This window comes from Homo sapiens, chromosome 2, assembly GCF_000001405.40.
Source record: "Homo sapiens chromosome 2, GRCh38.p14 Primary Assembly".
NCBI classification, from domain to species: Eukaryota; Metazoa; Chordata; class Mammalia; order Primates; family Hominidae; genus Homo; species Homo sapiens.
The window spans coordinates 3374468-3396655 of NC_000002.12; the positions used below are offsets into that span (position 1 = coordinate 3374468).

At 44.8% G+C, this 22188-nt stretch overlaps 2 protein-coding genes across 18 annotated transcripts in view, besides 7 other annotated features; one reads left to right on the forward strand and one right to left on the reverse strand.

Annotated features, from left to right (window-relative positions):
- EIPR1 (EARP complex and GARP complex interacting protein 1) overlaps positions 1-3351 on the reverse strand; it is a 188849-nt gene extending 185498 nt beyond the window's left edge. For all 3 annotated transcript variants that reach the window (NM_001330531.3, NM_003310.5, NM_001330530.3), the window contains exon 1: positions 3181-3351. Coding sequence is in view for 2 of the 3 variants with exons in the window: in NM_003310.5 (NP_003301.1) it covers positions 3181-3222 (42 nt within the window). In the remaining variant the exon portion in view is untranslated. The remainder of the gene's footprint in view (positions 1-3180) is intronic.
- Positions 2855-3134: an enhancer, noted in NCBI's record as "active region_15227". NCBI's record gives its function as "activates an Ori minimal core promoter by ATAC-STARR-seq in GM12878 lymphoblastoid cells {active_cell/tissue: GM12878}" and the evidence as "EXISTENCE:reporter gene assay evidence [ECO:0000049][PMID:35858748]".
- Positions 3155-3334: an enhancer, noted in NCBI's record as "active region_15228". NCBI's record gives its function as "activates an Ori minimal core promoter by ATAC-STARR-seq in GM12878 lymphoblastoid cells {active_cell/tissue: GM12878}" and the evidence as "EXISTENCE:reporter gene assay evidence [ECO:0000049][PMID:35858748]".
- Positions 3355-3404: an enhancer, noted in NCBI's record as "active region_15229". NCBI's record gives its function as "activates an Ori minimal core promoter by ATAC-STARR-seq in GM12878 lymphoblastoid cells {active_cell/tissue: GM12878}" and the evidence as "EXISTENCE:reporter gene assay evidence [ECO:0000049][PMID:35858748]".
- Positions 3575-3634: a silencer, noted in NCBI's record as "silent region_11108". NCBI's record gives its function as "represses an Ori minimal core promoter by ATAC-STARR-seq in GM12878 lymphoblastoid cells {active_cell/tissue: GM12878}" and the evidence as "EXISTENCE:reporter gene assay evidence [ECO:0000049][PMID:35858748]".
- Positions 3676-4192: an enhancer, noted in NCBI's record as "NANOG-H3K27ac-H3K4me1 hESC enhancer chr2:3381914-3382430 (GRCh37/hg19 assembly coordinates)". NCBI's record gives its function as "activates a minimal SCP1, AML or CMV promoter by ChIP-STARR-seq in naive H9 embryonic stem cells {active_cell/tissue: H9 hESC(naive)}" and the evidence as "EXISTENCE:reporter gene assay evidence [ECO:0000049][PMID:30033119]".
- Positions 4193-4709: an enhancer, noted in NCBI's record as "NANOG-H3K27ac-H3K4me1 hESC enhancer chr2:3382431-3382947 (GRCh37/hg19 assembly coordinates)". NCBI's record gives its function as "activates a minimal SCP1, AML or CMV promoter by ChIP-STARR-seq in naive H9 embryonic stem cells {active_cell/tissue: H9 hESC(naive)}" and the evidence as "EXISTENCE:reporter gene assay evidence [ECO:0000049][PMID:30033119]".
- Positions 5198-5247: a silencer, noted in NCBI's record as "silent region_11109". NCBI's record gives its function as "represses an Ori minimal core promoter by ATAC-STARR-seq in GM12878 lymphoblastoid cells {active_cell/tissue: GM12878}" and the evidence as "EXISTENCE:reporter gene assay evidence [ECO:0000049][PMID:35858748]".
- TRAPPC12 (trafficking protein particle complex subunit 12) overlaps positions 5227-22188 on the forward strand; it is a 99872-nt gene continuing 82910 nt past the window's right edge. For 10 of the 15 annotated variants that reach the window (XR_426956.4, XR_007076381.1, XR_001738761.2 and 7 more), the window contains exons 1-2: positions 5227-5409; positions 13153-14203. Coding sequence is in view for 10 of the 15 variants with exons in the window: in NM_016030.6 (NP_057114.5) it covers positions 13157-14203 (1047 nt within the window). In the remaining 5 variants the exon portion in view is untranslated. Of the gene's footprint in view, positions 5410-13152; positions 14204-15218; positions 15549-22188 lie in introns of those variants that run through there. The other 5 variants (NM_001321102.2, XM_047444637.1, XM_047444638.1 and 2 more) reach the window with 3 other exon arrangements.

Sequence of the window (22188 nt, forward strand, 5' to 3'; positions counted from 1 at the left end):
ACAACCTGCTCATCTGACAAAGGGCTAATATCCAGAATCTACAATGAACTCAAACAAATTTACAAGAAAAAAACAAAAAACCCCATCAAAAAGTGGGCAAAGGATATGAGCAGACACTTCTCAAAAGAAGACATTTATGCAGCCAAAAGACACATGAAAAAATGCTCATCATCACTGGCCATCAGAGAAATGCAAATCAAAACCACAATGAGATACCATCTCACACCAGTTAGAATGGCAATCATTAAAAAGTCAGGAAACAACAGGTGCTGGAGAGGATGTGGAGAAATAGGAACACTTTTACACTGTTGGTGGGACTGTAAACTAGTTCAACCATTGTGGAAGTCAGTGTGGCGATTCCTCAGGGATCTAGAACCAGAAATACCATTTGACCCAGCCATCCCATTACTGGGTATATACCCAAAGGACTATAAATCATGCTGCTATAAAGACACATGCACACGTATGTTTATTGCGGCACTATTCACAATAGCAAAGACTTGGAACCAACCCAAATGTCCAACAATGATAGACTGGATTAAGAAAATGTGGCACATATACACCATGGAATACTATGCAGCCATAAAAAATGATGAGTTCATGTCCTTTGTAGGGACGTGGATGAAATTGGAAATCATCATTCTCAGTAAACTGTCGCAAGGACAAAAAACCAAACACTGCATGTTCTCACTCACAGATGGGAATTGAACAATGAGAACACATGGACACAGGAAGGGGAACATCACACTCTGGGGACTGTTGTGGGGTGGGGGGAGGGGGGAGGGATAGCATTAGGAGATATACCTAATGCTGAATGACGAGTTAATGGGTGCAGCACACCAGCATGGCACATGTATACATATGTAACTAACTGGCACATTGTGCACATGTACCTTAAAACTTAAAATATAATAATAATTTAAAAAAAAAAGAGAGAAAAAAAAGAAAATAACATTTCAGTTAACCTCAAAGATACAATACTGAAGATAAAATCCTCTGGGTTTTTTGAGAGATTTCTTAAGGAGATCAAGAAGTTAAATTAAGTAGCACTGGCAGAGTATGCATCTTCAGGTAGTACAAGATTATAGAACCTTCTATCTACCCATGTGGTCTCTCCCTGTGTATCCCTATGTGTATCTAGTTAAAGAGAAAGCAGTAGAACTTAGCAGGTAAGGGGACTCGAGGTCAGTTTGGGTTGAAAGTCTAAGTAGGTCAGAATCCAAGGTCTATCATTTACTAGTTAAGTGGCCTTGGACAGGTAACTATTCTCTCTGAGGCTGTCTCTTCATCCGTAAAACAGGAACAATAACACCTACCAATAATGATTGCTGTGAGAATTAAATGAAATATTTGTACAGTGCTAAGCAGAGTGTCTGACACATAGTCCAGAGCTAAATCACTGGTAGTTAAGCTATCAGTCTTGTGAATGTGATATAGCCACTGGTCAAATCCTATAGCACAGTTTATTATACAGGACACTTAACTGCTGCCCTGTATAAAATTTATTTGTAAGAATTTTGTCTTAGGCAGGGTGCGGTGGCTCATGACTATAATCCCAGCACTTTGGGAGGCCAAGGAGGGCAGATCACTTGAGCTCAGGAGTGTGAGACCAGCCTGGGCAACATGGCGAAACCCCATTTCTACAAAGGAAAAAAAAGGAATTTTCTCTCATTATAACAATTAGAACAACAATTATTGAACACACTATGCACCAGGCACTGTTCTACGTGATTCAATTAAGTGTATTAACTCATTTAATTTCATAACAGCCATGAGGTGGGGGGGAGGGAGATGCATATTTTATTGGCAAGGAAACCGAGGCCCAAGGTCACATAGTTAATAAGTGCTAGAGGCAGGATTTAAAACTTAGGTGTCTGGGTGGCATATGTTATTCTACTAACACTGCTGCCTCTCTGACTGTAACCTACTTAAAAACAGACATTGGCCAGGTGCGGTGGCTCACGCCTGTAATCCCAACACTTTGGGAGGCTGAGGCAGGCAGATCACAAGGTCAGGAGTTCAAAACCAGCCAGGCCAAGATGGTGAAACCCCGTATCTACTAAAAATACAAAAATTAGTCGGGCGTGGTGGCGGGTGCCTGTAATCCCAGCTACTTGGGAGGTTGAGGCAGGAGAATCACTTAAACCCGGGAGGCGGAGGTTGCAGTGAGCCGAGGTCACGCCACTGCACTCTAGCCTGGGCAACGGAGCAAGACTCCATCTCAAAAAAAAAAAAAAAAAGCAGACATCATTTATATCTTTAACACATACTGCTGCACAAAATTATGTATCAAGTATTTCATATGGCAGTGAACTGTGTTTCTATCTCTCTATCTGTCCCTCAGTGCTTTAGGCATAACACATTCTCAAAAGCTACTTGAATAGATGAAAACCAGGACAGGGCTCTAACAGGCCCTACACAATCCTCATCTTCCTCCCCCGCTCATCTCATCCCCTACCTCATTCCCCCTGACGCATTTACTCTATCCACGGCAGCTTTCTTGCTGTCCTGAACTACCATGTGCATTGCTTATGCTCTGGGGGCTCATTCGGTTCATAGTCATTTGTTGAACACCTACTATGTGACAGTCATGAAAAGGCACTGGAAAATACAAGGTAAAAAACTAGTGTGAAAACAGTTGAATCCGAAGACAGTCTGTGGTTTACTGAATATTAGTGTACCAATGTTAATTTCTAAGCTGTGATAAATGTACGATGGTTATGTAAAGTGTTAACATTAAGGGAAGCTGGGTGGAGGGTAAAGAAGAACTTTCTATGTATTTTTACAACTCTTCTAAATACTTTAAATTGTTTCAAAATCAAACATTTTTATTTTAAACAACATACAGTTCCTACCTTCAGGAACTCAAATTCTAGAGGAAAAGGTGGGCGTGTAAATAAATGAGTCCACCAAAGTGAGTGATAACTTCCAGGTCAGAAGTCATGTTCGGGACAGGATGTGAAGGGGAAGGAGGCAGGCCGGCTGTGGCCAACCCTGTTATCCAGTACAACCGTTTAACCTCCTAAAGCCTCAGTTTACTTCTCTGCAAAATGGGAACTAGGGAACAGACACGGGTCCTTGCAGGGCTGGTGGGAGATCTGCAAACCGAAGTCACCATGGGACCGCGCATGCTATCAACAGCCAGGCCGAGCAGCACCTGCCGCCCTCCCAGTGACCCACCTGGAACTCCAGCCCGTAGATCACTGGTGCATCGTCCTCCATGCTGCGGGGAAGCGACCCGACCCCGGCCACTCACACGCTAAGGACCTCGCTACGGCCGGCGCGTCCCCACCTCGCGGGCGTGTTCCCAGCGCCCATTCATTCCCTCCCCGCAGCAAACGACTCCAAACTGGAAGTCTTTCTGGCCCAGAACAGCTTCCGTAGTGGCCACTTCCTATTTTTCGGATGTGTCATCAATCTGTTCCTCACCAGCGACCAATGGCAGCGGCGCTGGCTTGTGCGCATGGCCACTTGGGCTCACATCCGGGCTCTCAGCGCGGGGACTCCTGGAGGTGAGAACCCGGCCCAGAGGAAATAAGTTGGTGGGCGGAGCGGGCCGCGGAGGCCGGCTGTGGGTGGAGGCCGGCTCCGAGCGCAGGCCGTCGGGAGCAAGCGGCGATTAGCCTTAGCTAGCCATCGCATCTAAGAATCGCTCACGCCGTAGTTGGGCGCCGCCATGTATTGTCATTTGTATGTACTTGGCGTTCCTGAGCGCTGGGCCAGCGCTTCACACGCACTGCCATAAGGAGCTTCATCCAACCCTATGAATAAGCTGTTACACTTCCATTTTACCGATGAGACGCTGCAAAGTTGAGTAACACAGTCGCAGCGCTCATTGGTCCATTGGGTAGCCAGGATGGGCACCTGAGCTGACTCCCTTAGGTTCGGCCCAAGGTGCCCTAAGTCAGGGCCATGCCTAATGCATTTCTGCAGGTGCCCAGCACTGTGTGGCAAAGAAAGCACTACCAAGGATGGGGTTATGAAAGCCGGCACCGCACCACTGGTGGTCCTGGACTGCATATGCCTCCGAATGGGAGTCGGAAGGGAAGGCCCTGGGGTTCCTAGAGGTCTCCAAAGACTAAAGACTTGTGGTGGAGAGACTGCCCCTCTTTCGCATCCTGCTCAAAGTGCCTGCCCTGGCCTTGGGCCAGCAGAAATGGCATCGCAAGGACTCCAAAATACATCATAGCTGAACCACGCCGCTAGCCTGGTTCCACCGGGGCTTCCAGGACCACGCACCTTTCCTCCATTTCTGTGATTAGCTTTCCCCTCTACCCTTTATTGATCTCCGTGACGGAAATGGTTGGGTCTCGTTTTGCTCAGTTGGGCAAGGCGCGTGGTATTGAGTTAAGGCTGGATGAGTATCTGTTGAGTGTATGAAATTTTAGAGATTACATGAGAAATCAAATGAGCAGGCCGGGCGCGGTGGCTCACGCTTGTAACCCCAGCATTTTGGGAGGCTGAGGAGGGTGGATCACAAGGTCAGTTCGAGACCTGCCTGGCCAACACAGTGAAACCCCGTCTCTACTAAAAATACGAAACTTAGCCCAGCGTGGTGGCACGCGCCTGTAATCCCAGCTACTCGGGAGGCTGAGGCAGGAGAATCGCTTGAACCCGGGAGGCGGAGGTTGCAGTGAACCGAGATCGCGCCACTGCACTCCAGCCTGGGCGACAGAGCCAGAGTCGGTCAAAAAAAAAGAAAAGAAAAGAAAGAAATCAAGTAAGCAAAAACAAGAAAGAAAGAAATCAAGTAAGCAATGGCCCAGACATGAGAATCATCCTATTCAACCACTCTGTTTGCCGATATTAACTTGCGGAGCTAAGAGGGCCTTCATACTTCGGGATTAAACCCACCCATCTATCACTGATATCTTTATCATTAATTTTATTATACAAGTACTGCAGGTGCATGGTAAGAAACTTACAAAATACAGATAAACACAAAGACAAATCCATAGAAACACTGATTTCTAGGATATGCTGGTCAATAAAAATAGCCTAAGCGACTCCCTTTCACCCGCCCCATCTGCCACAGGCTTGCCTATTGCCTCTGAGTGACAGAATCAGGCTAGGTGGAGTGGAGTCTCCGTTCCCATTTCCAAGTACAGGGTCCGCTCCCCTCAACTACCGGCTCCTGGTTGCCTGTGCGCGTTCACACCTAGGGCTCCAGGCCCCGCCCACAGCAGACGAACCGGAAACGAACCCCATTTCCGGCCTGGGGGCAGGGCCTCGGGTTCCTGCATCGGGCCTGAGCAGAACTAGGCGCGCCGCGGCCCGGCACGCGCAGGCGTACAGAGCTCCCCGGGGGTGCCAGTTCCTCTCCGATTCCCGGCTTCTGTCACCTTCCTCACGGACCTTGGTCACGGCCGCAGGTGACCCCTTAGCCCAGCTCCAGTGGGCGGGTGGCAGGTGAGGATCAGGGCCTCGGCAGTCCAGAGGGGATGGGACCGTGTAGCGCCACCTCGGGGAGGGAGCACACTGGCTTTGGCCTCAGCCCGGAGGGACCTTCTCTGGGACCGATGCTAGAGTGGGCGTGGGGTCCGGGCGCGGGGTCGCCTGCCACCCAAGGGCGTGTGTGCTCCGCGGGCCTTGTGCCAGGCTCCACGTCGCCGCGGCCCTTGCTCTCCACGTCTGCAGAGGGCTGGAAGCGTCTCTGCAGCCCGCGGAGTTTGCGGGAAGGGGAAGCTGCTGCGAAGCGTGTGGGAAACTACCCGCTGGCGCGCGCCCAGGCGTCCCCGAGACCCCCAGTTCCAGGCTTGGTGCCAGCCAGGCCCCCAGCAAGCCCCTTAACTTCCCTTAGACTTAATTCACCCTCCCGCGGAAAGAGGTTACTAATGACCTGCCCTGCCAAACTCAGCATTGTGAGGCTGCAATGCAGTGTAAAAGCATTTGAGTCACTGTGTAAACGTCCGCTGTTGCTACACATACTAATTGTAGAGTATATTTACTGTGAAGACCGAAAAAGCGTTTATTCAACAGAAAGCGTTAGGGTCAAAGATGTGTTTTAACGTGTCATTTTTTCACTCTTCACTACGAAACAGTGTAGCCCCAAGGAAAAATTTTCTTGGACCTACGGTTTGTACTTTTTAATGGCTACTTGAAGATATGGTGTCTTTGGATTCAGTCACTGTTCGCAAATTCAGAAGATAGTGGCGGATAATGAGCCAGTCCCGTCTTGGGATTGGGGTGGGAGAGGGACAGGGGAAAAGCAAATGAAATATTACACAGTGTTACTCATTCAGTTCTTACATTTTGTGATATCTGATGGGATCTTCTTCACAGTTACTAAACTGGGTGTTGCCACTCTGCTTTATCATTAAAATGATAATTACTATGCTTGTGTCTGTGCAGCTCTTCACACTTTAAAAGATGCCTATGCAGGGGTGCCACTATTTAATCCTCTTTATTCTGATGTACCATCTAAAAGATCAAGATTTTCAGAGGTTACTTCACTTGGTCGGGAAGCTAAGACTCAACACAGTTATTGAGACACTGCCTTCAGAGCTCTTTCTGCCCACCCCTGCCTGGCAACCTTGCAAGAGGAGCTGAGAGGTGACCAGCACAAAGAAAAGAGTATTGGCAGAAAGCGCTGTGTGGGTAGCCTGTCACCATCAGGTACTGTCAGTGTGATGTTAGGCAAATCACTTGGCCTTCTCTGCTGTATGATGGAGGTAATAATAATGCTTCAAAAGTTTAGGATGAGTATTAAATAATAAGGTAAAATGCTTGATCTGTAGTGAGTGTTCATTACATGGAGACTTCTGTTAATACGTGCCACCTAGATTTCCACTACACACCCTCGTGCCCTTATGGAAGGAAATTTTACATGACTGCAATTTGGTAAAAGATATGTTTACAGAGTGTCTGTGTCCAGGAAATGAACCTGAGAAACCAAGTTTTAAATGTTGTTAGGAACTTTTTATTTCTCAAATACAGAATTACTTAAATTTAATATTTAAAAAAATTTTAAACAATTAATTAATCACATTCTTGTGCAAAGCCCTCAACTGGACAAGGAGAAAGTCAGATTTCTTTGCTGCACTGTGATGTAAAGCTTCTGTAAGCTTATGTAAGCTTAAAATCCTATTTATAGTTTAATAAAAATAAAGCCAATGATAGGAGGGAGTAAAGATTTCTATCACGTACAAATCAAGAACAGATACTTGTGTTTTTCCATTTTTAATTATGAACTATAAAGACTACCCGTAACACACATGTGAGATTTAAAGATCAAGTCAACCCAGTCTTCCATTACCAGCATAAGATGGGGACCATTTCCCAGTGCGTTGAAACTTCCGTGTGTCCCTCCCCAGTCAAGCTCTCCTGCCATCACCTTCCACCCCTCCCTCACTAAAGTGGCTGTTACTATATCCTGGCTTTTCTTTGTAGTTTGACCAAATATGTTTGTGTTCCTAACACAGAAAAAGTGTTTGGATTCAACACTTTTGTTTAATTTACATGTTTTTGAATATACAGAGTCATGCTGTTTATTTTTCTACTCATTCTTTGTGCAAAATTGTATTTGTGAGATCCAAACATAATTTATATGTTAGATATGGAAGAGTTCACTGATTTTCACCACTATTTTAATATTTTATGTCCTAGTATACCACAGTCTACTTATTTACTTATTATTGTGTCTACAGGCAGTGTTTATTTCCACTTTTTTTTTTTTTTTTTTTTTTTGAGATGGAGTCTTATTCTGCCGCCAGGCTGGAGTGCAGTGGCACGATCTTGGCTCACTGCAACCTCCGCCTCCTGGGTTCAAGTGATTCTGCTGCCTCAGCCTCCCAAGTAGCTGAGACTACAGGCGCCCGCCACCATGCCTGGCTAATTTTTTGTATTTTAATAGAGACAGCATTTCACTATGTTAGCCGGTATGGTCTTGATCTCCTGACCTCGTGGTCCGCCTGCCTCGGCCTCCCAAAGTGCTAGGATTACAGATGTGAGCCACCACGCCCAGCCTACTTTTTCTTTTAGGACTTTAGAAGAAAGGTATTTTGATGTGTTATTTATGAAATTCAGCATCATAGCTTACACTGCTCATGTACAGGAATTCCTCCATGATAGGTATCTAGCAGTGGAATTGCTAGGTCCTAGGTACTACGACCACATATTTATTGTCTCAACCAAGACTCCTTTAAGAGTGAAAGGAGACACTTAATGATTTTACTGAGGCGAAGCACGTGGCTCACGCCTGTAATCTCAGCACTTTGGGAGGCCAAGGCAGGAGGATCACTTGAGCTCAGAAGTTTGAGACCAGCCTGGCCAACATATTGAGTCCCCATCTCTACAAAAAATACAAAAATAGCTGAGTGTGGTGGTGCACACCTGTAGTCCCAGCTACTCCAGAGGCTGAGGCAGGAGGATGGGCTTGAGCCCAGAAGATCGAGGCTGCAGTAAGCCATCATCGTCCCATTGCACTCCCGCCAGGGTGACAGAGCCAGACTATGTCTCATAAAATAATAATACTAATAAAATAATAGAAATAACTTAAACCATGGGTGAAAAATTGAATTGTTCTGGGAAAAATCAAGATGTATAGTTATCAAAGTGATAAGATAATGTGCTTTTTAAACTTTACTAGATAATACCAAGTGGTTTCTCAACATGGATGTTCAAAGGTATACCTCTTTCAGCTCTGTTGCTTATTTTTCTAATGGATCATTTAGTGTGCTTTTATTAATTTGTAGGGATTCTTTATGTATTCTTCGTGTTAATCCTTTCTCAGTTACATTTGTTTGTTTCACTTTTTTTAGGTTTTTAATGATAGAACTTTCCATTTTAATATAGCAGATGTATCCATTTTCCCTTTATGGTTTGTACTGATTATGCCTAGTTTAAGAGGCTTTGCCTACTCTGAAAATATATTCTCTTATATTTTCTTCTGAAAGTTTTGAAGTTTTGCCTTTCACAGTTAATTTTTGATCCCCCACCCCCGCCCCGCCCGAGACGGAGTCTTTCTCTGTCACCCAGGCTGGAATGTCGTGCCTCAATCTTGGCTCACTACAACCTCTGCCTCCTGGGTTCAAGCGATTCTCCTGCCTCAGCCTCCCGAGTAGCAGAGTAGCTGGGATTACAGGTGCCCGCCACCACACCTGGCTAATTTTTGTATTTTTAGTAGAGACGGGGTTTTACCATGTCGGCCAGGCTCATCTTGAACTCCTGACCTCGTGATACGCCCGCCCCGGCCTCCGAAAGTGCTGGGATTACAGGCGTGAGCCACCGCACCCGGCCTTCACAGTTAAGTTTTTAACGTCCCTGAGATTGATACTGTGTCTGTGGTGAGACAAGATTCCAAGTTTATTTTTTCCCAGCTGCATGATTTGTCTACACATCACTCAAGGAAAATCGTCTCTTCCTTTGATGTGTGCTACATATTCCCTTGTGATAGTTCAGTCTTGTTTTTTTTTTTTTTTTTTTTTTTTTTTTTTTTTTTTTTTTTGAGATGAAGTTTCGCTGCTGTTGCCCAGGCTGGAGCACAGTGGTGCGATCTCGGCTCACTGCAACCTCCGCCTCCTGGGTTCAAGTGATTTTCCTGCCTCAGTATCCCAAGTAGCTGGGATTACAGGCGCCCTCCACCACACCTGGCTAATTTTTGTATATTTAGTAGAGACAGTGTTTCACCATGTTGACCAGGCTGGTCTTGAACTTCTGACCTCAGGTGATCCACCCTCCTCGGCCTCCCAAATTGCTAGGATTACAGGCCTGAACCACCGTGCCTGGCCCAATATTTCAGTCTTTATACCATAGATTTTTGATGTATTCTACATAAATAATCATACACGAAGAATGAAGGTTTGTATTTTTTTCTTTTCAGTTTTTATTGTAGCTTTTAGTTATTTTTCTTGCCTTAATCCTGCCCGAGGACTCCAGTATTAGGCAGCATAAAAATGTTGAAGAGGACATCTTTATCTTTTTTCTACTTTTAAAGAGAATGCTTTAAACGTTTCACTGTTAATTTGAGGTTTCCTTTAGGTTTTTGGTAGATACCTTTGATTGCATTAAGGAAGTTACTTTCTGTTGCTAGTTTGCTGACAGGTTTTATCTTGAGCAGATGCTGAATTTTATTAGATACTTTCTTGTGCATCTATTGAGATAGTCATGTACTTTTATTTAATCTATCGCATTAAACCAACAGTACATTTCTGGGATTACCTGAGTTTGGTAGAAAATAAATACATTGCTGATTCAGTTAGCTAATATTTCAAGATTTTTGCATGTGTGTTCATGAGTGAGATGATAGCTTCCCTTTTAGTATGGCCTTGTCAAATTTTGGTCTCAAGGTTATATTAGCCTTATAAAGTGAATTGGGTCATGTGTCTTTTTTCTTCTCTGCAAGAATTTTTGTACTGTAGGAATTATCTGTACGGAATCTTTGGTAGAATTCACTGGTAAACCCTCTGGACCCTATATTTTCTTTGTAGGAAGACTTAACTACTGGTTATACTTTTTTTATGGTTATAGAACTATCTCGTCATATATACATGGTTATTACTAGTGTCTGCTTTGCATTTGAACCTTACATTGGAATAAGATTAGAGTAAGGAAACCCTTGAAGTGAAGAAGCTATTTTGCTACAAATTATATGTCCATTCTCACAAAATCTTATGTATATAATTTATATAGATGTAGCTTTATAATATATGTATGTCTTCCCATTCATAAAAGCATCATCTAAATCACGTTTTATATCATTTTTATTTGAGCATTCCTCTTGATTTTCTAGAGAAGAAACCCTCAGATCCTTACTTACAAGCATTTTCCTGCATCTAGATTTTATTTGTGTGAAAGCAAAAGTGATCATCCTTGCCCTAAATTATTAGGGCTTTTTATTACTTTGGTATTTACTTAAGAATAAAATTTATTTTTTTATTTTCTTCTCTTCTCAAAAGTGGTTTGCAGGTATTAATGAAAATTTTGGACATTCCCATTTTATCAGTTCTCCTTAATTTACAATTTATAAAGTTTTTAAGCTTTATAATTTAGAAGCATTTTACCTTAATTTTTATTATTTTGGTGGTTTTTCTAGGCGATGTTTTTTGTTATTATATCTCTGATAAACAGATTTCCCTAAATCTTACAGGTTTAAAGCAGCTTCATCTTCACAATAGTAAGAATTGTTTCTTTAAAAAGTTTCTTCACAAAGGCAATAAAACTTTTAAAATCTGTGAGATTGAATCAGAATTAGCTTTAGAACCTAGAATTTTGTTAGGGCTGAGGGTAGATGAGACGGAGGGAAGATCCCTTTCTCTCATCATTAGCTTATATCGAAATCAATTCTTATTTCTAAAATAAAATACGCAGACCACGCTAGTGCCTTCAAGTCCTGCTGGGAGACTTCAGAGGGGGCACTGCCTCATGCTGCCTGTTTGCTCCTTGTGCCCGGCCTCTATCCCTGCACAGGAAGGACCCGAAGGAGCAGCCTTACCATGCACAGGGGGCTCCCCCTTTGGGGTTCTAGGGCAATTTGTTCTTCGGGCTCCCGGTGAAACATGGCAGGAAAAAAAACGTTTTACTCCTTTTCATTGGATTTTTTATTCATTTATACTTAACAATTATTGGATGAATGTATAAGGGAATTAGTAGCTGACCAGGCTGAACCGGAAACTTCTTCAAAATGTATAACTTGGATTATGTACTTTAAAATAATGTTTTGGGAAGGCTGACTCATTGGGAATACTATGATGGAAGTGTTGACAGTGAGAAAAGGGTAGTCTTATCTAGAGATCAGCTAAGTGTCATTTTTTAAGTAAAAAAGGTACGTGTTGTTTTATTCTGAAAAAAATCCCTTATCTTTTATCATAGTCTCTTAGATTTCCTTAACTTGAATTTGTTCACTATGAGAGTAAAACTACATAAAGTAAAAGTTTTTCAAGAAAAAGAACAAATACTTTTTTACAGTTTGAGCTCTTTGTCTCATTCTTTGGCTGGTCCTGGTTTCCCCACTCACTAGCGGTGTGATTTCGGCTTACATAGCCTCCCAAGGCCTCAGTGTCCTCATCTGCGAAACGAAGACAGTGATAGCAGCTGTCTCGAGGGGTGTTCTGAGAATCACACAGGCATATGTATATATAGCCAGGGGCATAGTATGTGCGGATAAATGTTAGCTAGTTGTGTTGTCAGCTTCAGCCATCAGTGCTTAGTGAGTGTGCTGTTTTCTTACTGTTTAAATTTTTCATGTCATTCGCACTGTATCAGATTTCCAGAGTCAGGCAGATAATATGAGCTGGGGCGTGGGGCGGGGGTAGGGGCGGACGGCATGGGGAAGTCAAGAGACTATTACAAATTGAAGAGTCTTGGGAGGGCTTCATGGAAGAGGAGGGACTTAGCTGACTCTCAGAATGAAGTAGTGTTTATATGGCTGGAACCTCACACCTACTGGAATGGCTACTATGAAATAAAAACAAAATAACAAGTGTTGGCAAGGATGTGAATTCCAAGGCTTGTGCACTGTTGGTGGGAATGACAAACGGTTCAGCCACTATGAAAAACAGTTTTTTGGTGCCTCAAAAAAATTAAAAATAGAATTACCATATAATCCAGCAGTTCCTTCTAGGTATTTACCCAAAATGATTGAAAGCAGGGTCTCAAAGAGCTGTTTGTACAGCCACGTTCATTGCAGCAGCATCCACAATAGCTAAAAGATGGGAGCAACCCACGTGTTCAACAACAGATAGCTGGATAAACAAAATGTAGTGTATGCATACCATGGAATATTTTTCATCCATAAAAAGGAAGGAAACTCTGACCAAGCTGTAGCATAAATAGCCCTTGAGGACTTTATACTGAGTAAAATCAGCCAGTCACAGGAAGACAGTTATCGGGTGATTCCACTTATTTTATAGTAGAATGGTGGATGCTCTAGGCGGGGGAGATGGGTATACGGGGGAATGTTTAATGGGGATGGAATTTTAGTTTTGCAAGATAAAAAGTGTTCTGGAGATTGGTTGCACAGAAATGTAGATGTACTTAACACTACTGAACTTAAGGTGGTCAATTTTATGTGTATTTTACCATAATCAAAAGCACATGGATAAGAAGCTGGAGAAATGGAAGTCTGCGTCATTTGAATCTATAAGCAATACTCATTTTTCGGTTGAGGTGAATGAAGATCACGCTCAGGGGCCTTCTCTCTGTCTTTGCTTTCAGGGTCATGGAGGACGCTGGCGGCGGCGAGGAGACCCCGGCCCCGGAGGCCCCGCACCCCCCTCAGCTCGCGCCTCCGGAGGAGCAGGGGTTGCTCTTCCAGGAGGAAACCATCGATCTTGGCGGAGATGAGTTTGGATCCGAAGAGAACGAGACCGCATCGGAAGGCTCGAGTCCTCTCGCGGACAAGCTGAACGAACACATGATGGAGAGCGTCCTCATCTCTGACTCCCCCAACAGCGAGGGCGACGCGGGCGACCTGGGCCGAGTGCGGGACGAAGCTGAGCCCGGAGGGGAAGGCGACCCAGGCCCGGAGCCCGCGGGCACCCCGAGTCCCAGCGGCGAGGCCGACGGCGACTGTGCCCCCGAGGACGCGGCACCCAGTAGCGGAGGGGCCCCGAGGCAGGACGCGGCCCGCGAGGTCCCAGGCAGCGAAGCCGCGCGCCCGGAGCAGGAGCCTCCCGTTGCGGAGCCGGTCCCGGTGTGCACCATCTTCAGCCAGCGCGCGCCCCCAGCCTCCGGGGACGGCTTCGAGCCGCAGATGGTGAAGTCGCCCAGCTTCGGTGGCGCCAGCGAGGCCTCGGCCAGGACACCGCCCCAGGTCGTGCAGCCCAGCCCCAGCCTCAGCACGTTCTTCGGAGACACGGCCGCCAGCCACTCCTTGGCCTCGGACTTCTTCGACTCCTTTACTACCTCCGCCTTCATTTCCGTCAGCAATCCCGGCGCGGGCTCCCCGGCCCCCGCCAGCCCGCCTCCCCTCGCTGTGCCCGGGACCGAGGGGCGCCCCGAACCCGTGGCCATGCGAGGGCCCCAGGCAGCTGCGCCCCCGGCGTCGCCAGAGCCTTTCGCGCACATCCAGGCAGTGTTTGCAGGGAGTGACGACCCCTTTGCCACCGCCCTGAGCATGAGCGAGATGGACCGGAGGAACGACGCCTGGCTTCCCGGCGAGGCTACGCGTGGAGTCCTGCGGGCCGTGGCCACCCAGCAGCGCGGCGCCGTGTTCGTGGACAAGGAGAACCTCACCATGCCGGGCCTCAGGTTCGACAACATCCAGGTGAGCCCGGGTCTCCCACCTCCGCAGCCCGTGCCTCCTCTCTGCGTCTGTGAGATACGCACAGTGCCCCTTTAGGGATGGAGAAGGAGAAGGCCTTGTTTTCAGTAATTCCTAACATCCCATTGTGAGCGCCTGTGTTCCTCTGTCCCTGGGTAATTAGGGATCTGTTGGTTTCCCCAACAGAACATATTTAATGGACTGCTACTCAGAGAGGTAGAAATAAATACCACCAAGGCAGACAGTTCTACCGTAATTCTCTCAGTCAGTTCTCCATGTCCTGTAATCCATTTGACATTTGAACTCCAGTTAATAATAAATCCATTTCTTTCTTTAAAATATGGAAAAATATATTCCTGTAACATATAATGTGCCCGATGTAGAATTTTTATAGGTTGAATAAGAAAAATACGCGTGACCCAAAAAGTAACAAATCACAGAAATATATAAATGTTAAGCTAAATGGTAACATACAAATGTTCGATCTCACTACTAATGAAAGACAATTGATGCAGGGTTTTTTTCGGTGCCGCTTTGCCAGCTGGAGACCTCCGTGGTCGGCGATGCCCCTGCCCAGGCCTCTCTCGGCCCAGGTTCGCCCACTAGGCCTGCCGGGCCGCACCTGGCTTGCGCTTTGGCATATCCCGTGGCCTCGGTGACTGTGCTCTCAGCCCCCAGCAGGTGGGTTGTGCGAGCAACTGAGTGTAGGGGTCCGGGGGCTGCTCCAACCGCCAGCATAGGAGCAGGCTTCACACGGGGCTTGTAGCTGGACCAGGCGTGTGGCAAGTGACTCCCACAGTGGACTCCTGCGTCCAGGCGAGGGGAACACCGTGGCGCCCGAAGAGCAACAACCGCGACCCCGAAGCCCGAGAGGGGATGTTACAGCGTGCACACAGCTCTTTTCGACCCGCATCTGCTGCCGGACTAACGGGCATCTTAACGGCTCTAAACGGGCGCATTAACAGACCACTGCTTCCCGTTGAGTGGGGCAGCCGAAGGGGGTGGGGGATGGAGGGTTACAGTGTTATTGCTGTCTTGGTACCTGCACTCCGCGGAGTCCTGAGTTCTTGTCCTGCCTCCAAGAAGAACGAGATTATGCCGACAACCAGAGTGTGAGGAGGGCGGACGAGTTTTATTGAGCACAAAACAGCTCTCAGCAGAGAGGGGAGGCGAGGGTGGTCCCCCACCGAAAGTCAGGTGGTGTCTCTCCCAGTGTGGCTGGCTCAGGGGCTTTTTTGGGCTCAGAATGGAGGGGTGCATGCTGATTGTGAGTATGCAAAAAAGAAGGCTAAAACAAAGTCACCACTCAAAGGTGGGCACGACAGTGGAAAAAACCAGTTGGGGAAGGGTAGGTATATGTAAAATAGGTGAAGAGGGGTAATCAATCAGAGGAAAGTGCTCCACATGGGACGAAAGGTTCTCAGTCCCTTACGTGGGTTTATCCGGGACTTGCAGCTAGGCTTTAAACTGTCTTCAGTTCCAGTCAGGTTTCACCGGGGACCGCCCCTGTCTGCCTAGGATTTGTCTGCCTCCTGCTGCCATCACACTCGAGTCATTTCCGTTTCCATTTATCAATCATGATCTACTGTTTGTTGAAGTGTGGGAAAATAGCCTCTCTAAGGCAGCCCAGATGGGACCAAAATCAGTACAAACATATTTAAGTAAATTTTAAAATGCGTATCAAATGTGCATATTCTTTGACCCAGAAATTCCACTCTTAGGAATGTATTGTGAGGACATAATCATACTTCTATACATATACCAGCTGTTGAGATGTCTATCAGGGTGGTTTGTAATTGCAAAGAATCTGAAATAATCTAAAAGCCCGTTATTAGGAGGCTTGAATACATTTGACTCACCTCATCTTTGCAATGGAATATTTATGTAAGTTTTTAAAATGATGCCAGGGGTTAGGGGGAGGAAGGGATGAACAGGTGGAACATAGAGGATTTTAAGGCAATGAAACTATTCCGTGTGATACTTTAATGCTGGGTACATGTTGTTATTTATTTTACCAAACCCATGGAAAGTGCTACACCAAGAGTCTACCCTAATGTAAGCTGTAGACTTTGGGTGACAATGATGTGTCCATGTAGATTCATCAGTTGTAATAGGTGGACCACTCTGGCGAGGTGCGTTGATCATGGGGAAGACTGTGTGTGTAGGGGGACAGGCAATATATGGAAGATCTCTATACCCGCTTAATTTCGCAGCAAACCTAAAAGTCCTCTAAGTAATAAAATCTTCCTCTGATCATTGGTGAATAATAATATAAATAAATTGTAAAATCTATTTTTAAAAAGATATAAAACAGAATATTTAATGAGGTTCATCTCATACTGTTAAATTTGAAAATCAGGACAGAAGATAGCATGTAGCATGCATAGTATGATAAAATTTTTATAAATATATGTATACATATGTATCAGATTAAATCATATGCATGTCAGTTTTAGTTTATTGCAACCAAATTGTGGGACAGGATTAGTAGTTTCCATATGGCACTGTACATGACGGGGCGCCCCACCTCCCAGTTACTGGCCTCAGATCCTGTGCGTGTCTGTCTTCCTGAAACTGAAAGAAGGACCTACAGCCCCCTTTAGTGCAACCACTTACCCACTCCTGAACCCACTTACCCACTCCACTCTCACTCCTGAACACAAATAGGTAAGCCAATAAGCCAATCGTATGACTGTGACTATTGCTATTGAATTGATAGATGGCTGAGACCTAGGAGTGGTGAATTCTCCAGGAAAAGAAAAGTGACATACTAGAGAAATGAAGCCAATTAATTTTTTCAGATAACTGAAGTGTAAGCCTATAGACATCCGTATTTTGGGTGTTTTACGGGCAGTCTTTCCAGAATGTTCATTGACTAATTTACTAATATTCATTTACTATACTTATTGTGTGTTTACTCTTGACCAGGCATTGGTCTAGGCATTCTTCTCTACCCTCTTAGGCAGAATATACTGAGCATAATTTAACCTTTGCAGGATCTTTTTAATGAATACCAATTCCGGACTCTGATGTCAGGGGTATTTGGATGTGTGGGATTGGATTTATTTGTCACTGAATTCTTACCTGTACTCCCACTCCCTGGTCTTGTCTCTGTATCCTGTCCCCCCAAGATGGCTTTCATGTTCTGCTCCATGTTTCTTCCCTTCTCTCTCGGGGTCTTTGTCCTCTCTGCTGTAAAATTCCTTTAACATCTGTGGGTCTGGCCTTTAGCACTTTCTTTCAAACCCTCTGTTGCTTGCCTTGCCGTTTGCTTCTCCCTCTGACTGTAACTCAGAGGAAATCTGAAGGTTGCCACAGGAAAGACTTAACCTATTGCTTCCCAACTGGGTGCTGCAGTCCAACGGTCTTAGGTACATTTGGAAAGGGGGAGAGGTGTTTCACTTTGGTTGACAAAAGGGCTGGGGTGAGCATATGACATTTAGTGAGTAGGGCTAAGAGTACTCAGTACCTTGCAGCGAGCTCAAAGCTTTCAAGGAATGGAAAACACCTGTTCCTCAAAAAAGCTTAAAGGTCTCTGGTCCTGTCCAGTTTCTCCTTTTATGATGAGGAAACAGATCCGAATGACTTGTGTGTTCACCAGCAAGCCTGCCATGTCCCAGGCATCCTCTCTCCTGACACAAAGGAAGGTGTAATGCCTACCCGCCAGCCCAGACCAGGACAGACGGCCTAGACAAGGGAAGGCAGACCTGCAAATGGATAATTTCAGTGTCCTGTGGCTCAGTAGAGATCCAGGCAGAGTCCCATGGGCGTGTTTACCCTAGATAATGCAGCCACAACACTGCAGAGCCAGTGCCAGAACACAGGTCCTCTTTGCCTTAGTTCTGGCCTCTTTGTCTTATGTTGTATTTCTCCCTACCATAGAAAATGACTAATTGTATTTCTCTCAGAAGGATCTCTGTTTAAGTCAAAGAACTAGAAACAGCACTAATTATCAGGGAAATGCAAATCAAAATCACAATGAGATATCATGGCTGTTAACCGAAAACTCTGGAGACAGCAAGAGTTGGTGAGGGTGTGGAGAAAGGGACCCTTGTGCACTGTTGGTGGGAATGTAAATTAATACAGCCATTATGGAAAACATGGAGGTGCCCGAAAAAGTTAAAAATGGAGCTACCATATGATCTAACAGTCCCCCATTCTGGGTATGTATCCAAAGGAATTGAAATCGGGATCTCAGAGAGATGCCTGCGCTCCATGCTCACTGCAGAATTATACAGTAGCCCAGATAGGGAATCAACCTAAGTGCCTATCGACAGGTGAGAGGACAGAGAAAATTTGGTATGTAGTGGCTCACGCCCATAATCCCAACTTCTCAGGAGGCTGAGGCAGGAGGCTCACTTGAGCCATGGTGTTCAAAGCTGCAATGAGCTATGATGGCACCACTGCACTCCAGCATGGATAACAGAGTAAGACCTGTCTCTTTTTAAAAAAAAAAATGTTTTTAAAGAAAAGAAAATATACACAATGGAATTCTATTTAGTCCTTAAAAAACAAGGGGAAACCTTGCCATTTGTGACTATATGCATGCACCTGGTGGACATTAGGTTAAGTGAAATAAGCCAGACACAAAATGATGAATACCACGTGATCTCATTTACATGTGGAATCTACAGAAGTCAGACTCATAGAAGCTGGGGCCTGGGGGTGTGAGGGGCATGGGGAGATGTTACTCAAAGGGTACAGAGCTTCATTTATGCAAGAAGAAGGAATGCTGGGGATGGAATGTACATTTAACATGGTGACTATAGTTAGTAATACTGCGTTGTTTACTTGAAATTTGATGAGAGCAGATTTTAAGTGTCCTCACCACCCTCACACATATACACACACACACAGTAACTATGGGTAGTGACGGTTGTGTTAATTATTTCGACTTTGGAATTCAGTACACAATGTCTATTTATAACAAATGATCATATATACCTTGAATATATATAATTTGTATTTGTCAACTAAATATTCTAAAATTTAAAAATATGCCTTTTCTATTTACCCACATTTAAAAAAAAAAAAAAAGAACTGGAAATCAAATGGCTTAACTTTAGTGTTCCATAAAGAGTGAGTAGCTCAGTCTTCTCCAGGGTCCCAGAAGTTGCCTGATACGTAGACATATCCCTGATCAGTATGTGAGCTTAGGAAGAGCCTTGAATTAGAAGAATTGGTTTCAAATTGTTGGTTTGCCAATAACCTGTGTAACCTAAGGGAATTCATTGAACATCTGTGGCTCTATTTTCTTCTCTGTAAAATGAAAGGTTTTGGTAAGTCTGTCAGTTACGCTGTAGGTTCAGCTGCATTAACAAAGAAAGCCAAAGGTATGGTGGCTGGAATAGGATACATGTTTATTTCCAGGTGGTAGAACACTTTGGAGATATGTGGGCCAGCACTGTGGATTGACTCTACCTTCCTCAACCAAGTCCAGGAAGCTTTTTCCCATTGCTGTCTTCCAGCCATCTGGAAGAGGGAGAGGCTGGAGAGCTCTGCAGTATTCCTTTTATGATACGTCATCTGGAAGACAGTGTGTCCACTCACATCCCACTACCTAGGGTTTAGTCACTTGGCCACACCAAGATGCAAGGAAGGCTGAAAATAGTCTTTAGGTAGGCGACCATGTGCTCAGGCAAAACCAAAGTTCTGTTACTAGAAGAAGGGGAGGGCCGGGCATGGTGGCTCACACCTGTAATCCCAGCACTTTGGGAGTCCGAGGTGGGTGGATCATGAGGTCAGGAGATCGAGACCACCCTGGCTAACACGGTGAAACCCCATCTCTACTAAAAATACAAAAAACAGCCGGACGTGGTGGTGCACGCCTGTAGTCCCAGCTACTTGCGAGGCTGAGGCAGGAGAATCACGTGAACCCAGGAAGCAGAGGTTGCAGTGAGCTGAGATTGCACCATTGCATTCCAGCCTGCGCAACAGAGCAGCACTTTGTCTGAGGTTAAAAAAAAAAAGGGGGGGGAGATCAGAGATTGGTGGATGGCTGAGAGTCTCCTCCAGTGAGTCCTTCCAGCACCAAAAGTCTTGAATCTGGAATCCATAATTACTGCCAGCCTTGAGCCTTTGCTGATAACTGAATTCCCACTGCTGCGTATGTAAGAATTATCCAGCTTGTAAGTAGGTTCGAAACCCATTTTCTAGTAAATTATGTTATAAATCGTAGGGGAGTTTTTAGAATAAACCACAAAGGGCTCTCTAGGTGGAACTTATTATAAAGAGATAATGTTGTATATTCTGTCTCTCACACACACACTCACACTCTATCCTGTTATTAGTAATTTAGCAAAATAATGTTGGGAAAGCATATTTGAGTACAGTCTTTTTTGTGGATATATTTTCGTTTCTCTTGGGTAAAAACTTAATAGTATACTTTCTGGGGCTTACGATAAATGTGCATTTAGCTCTATAAGAAATAGAACAGTTTCCAAAGTGGGCACAGTATTTCATGTTTCCGTCAGCAGCGTATGAGAGTTCCAATTATTTTGTATCCATGGTATAGTCAACTTTTTTCGATTTTTGCATTTCTCTGATGACTGAGGTTATATAGACTACTTGATACAAAGGATCTCATGTATTAATCCTTTGATATGTAGACGGTTTGTATATCTTTATAGAGCATCTCTTCAAACGTTTTCTCCATCTTTCAAACTTCGGATGTTTGTCTTATTGTTACTGTGTTTTAAGAATTCTGTAAATATCCTGGTTGGAAATGAGCTATCATACACAATAGATGTGTTGCAATTTTTTTTTTTTTTACTATTCTATGTCTTGTTTTTGCAATTTCTTAGGTGTCTTTTGAAGGGCAGAAATTTTAATTTTGGGGTGCAGGTATACTAGCTACAGATTCTCGCAGCTTTTATTAGTTTCAAAATTATTACTTTTTTTTTTTTTTTTTTTTGAGACAGAATCTTGCTCTGTCGCCCAGGCTGGAGTACAGTTTCACAATCACAGCTCACTGCAACCTCCGCCTCCCAGGTTTAAGTGATTCTCATGCCTCACCCTCCAGAGTAGCTGGGACTACAGGCACGCACCACCACGCCCAGCTAATTTTTTTTTTTTTTTCTTGAGACACAGTCTCACTCTGTCACTCAGGCTGGAGTGCAGTGGCACAATCTCAGCTCACTCCAACCTCCACCTCCCAGGCTCAAGCAATTCCCCTGCCTCAGCCTCCTGAGTAGCTGGGATTATAGGCATGTGCCACGACACCCAGCTAATTTTTGTAATTTTAGTAGACACGTGGTTTTGCCATGTTGGTCAGGCTGGTCTCAATCTCCTGACATCAAGTGATCTGCTCACCTCAGCTTCCCAAAGTGCTGGAATGACAGGAGTGAGCCACCACGCCTGGCTAGTTCTTGTATTTTTAGTAGAGACAGGGCTTCACCACATTGGCCAGGCTGGTCTTGAACTCATGACCTCAAGTGATCTGCCCACCTTGGCCTCCCAAAGTGCTGGGATTACAGGCATGAGCCACCATGCCCAGCCTCATCTTCGTTATTAAAGTTTATTTTTGCCAAATATACAACATATTTACAGTATGTAGAATTCTAGGTTGACAGGTTTTTTTTTTTTTCTTTTTAGACCTTGTAAGATGCCATCCCACTGTCTTTTGACTTGCATAGTTTCTGATGAGAAGTCTGTAGTAATTCTTATCCTCGCTCCTCTGTACCTAATTGTATATTTTTCCTCTGGGTGCTTTTATGATTTATCCCTGGTTTTTCAGCAGTTTGGTTCTGATGTACTTTCACATGGGATTTATGTTTATTTTGCTCGGCATTCATTGGCTGTTTTGGATCTGAGACTTTATCATTTTTGTCAATTTGGGGAAATTTGGGGTCATTATTTCTTCAGGTATTTTCTGTGTTTTTTCTCTCTCCTACTTCTGGAAACTCCAGGTATACCTACTGCTTCATATTGCCACAGAAGCTACTGAGGATCTGTTTTTGTGTTTTTATTTTGCAGTCTTTCTCTCTGTG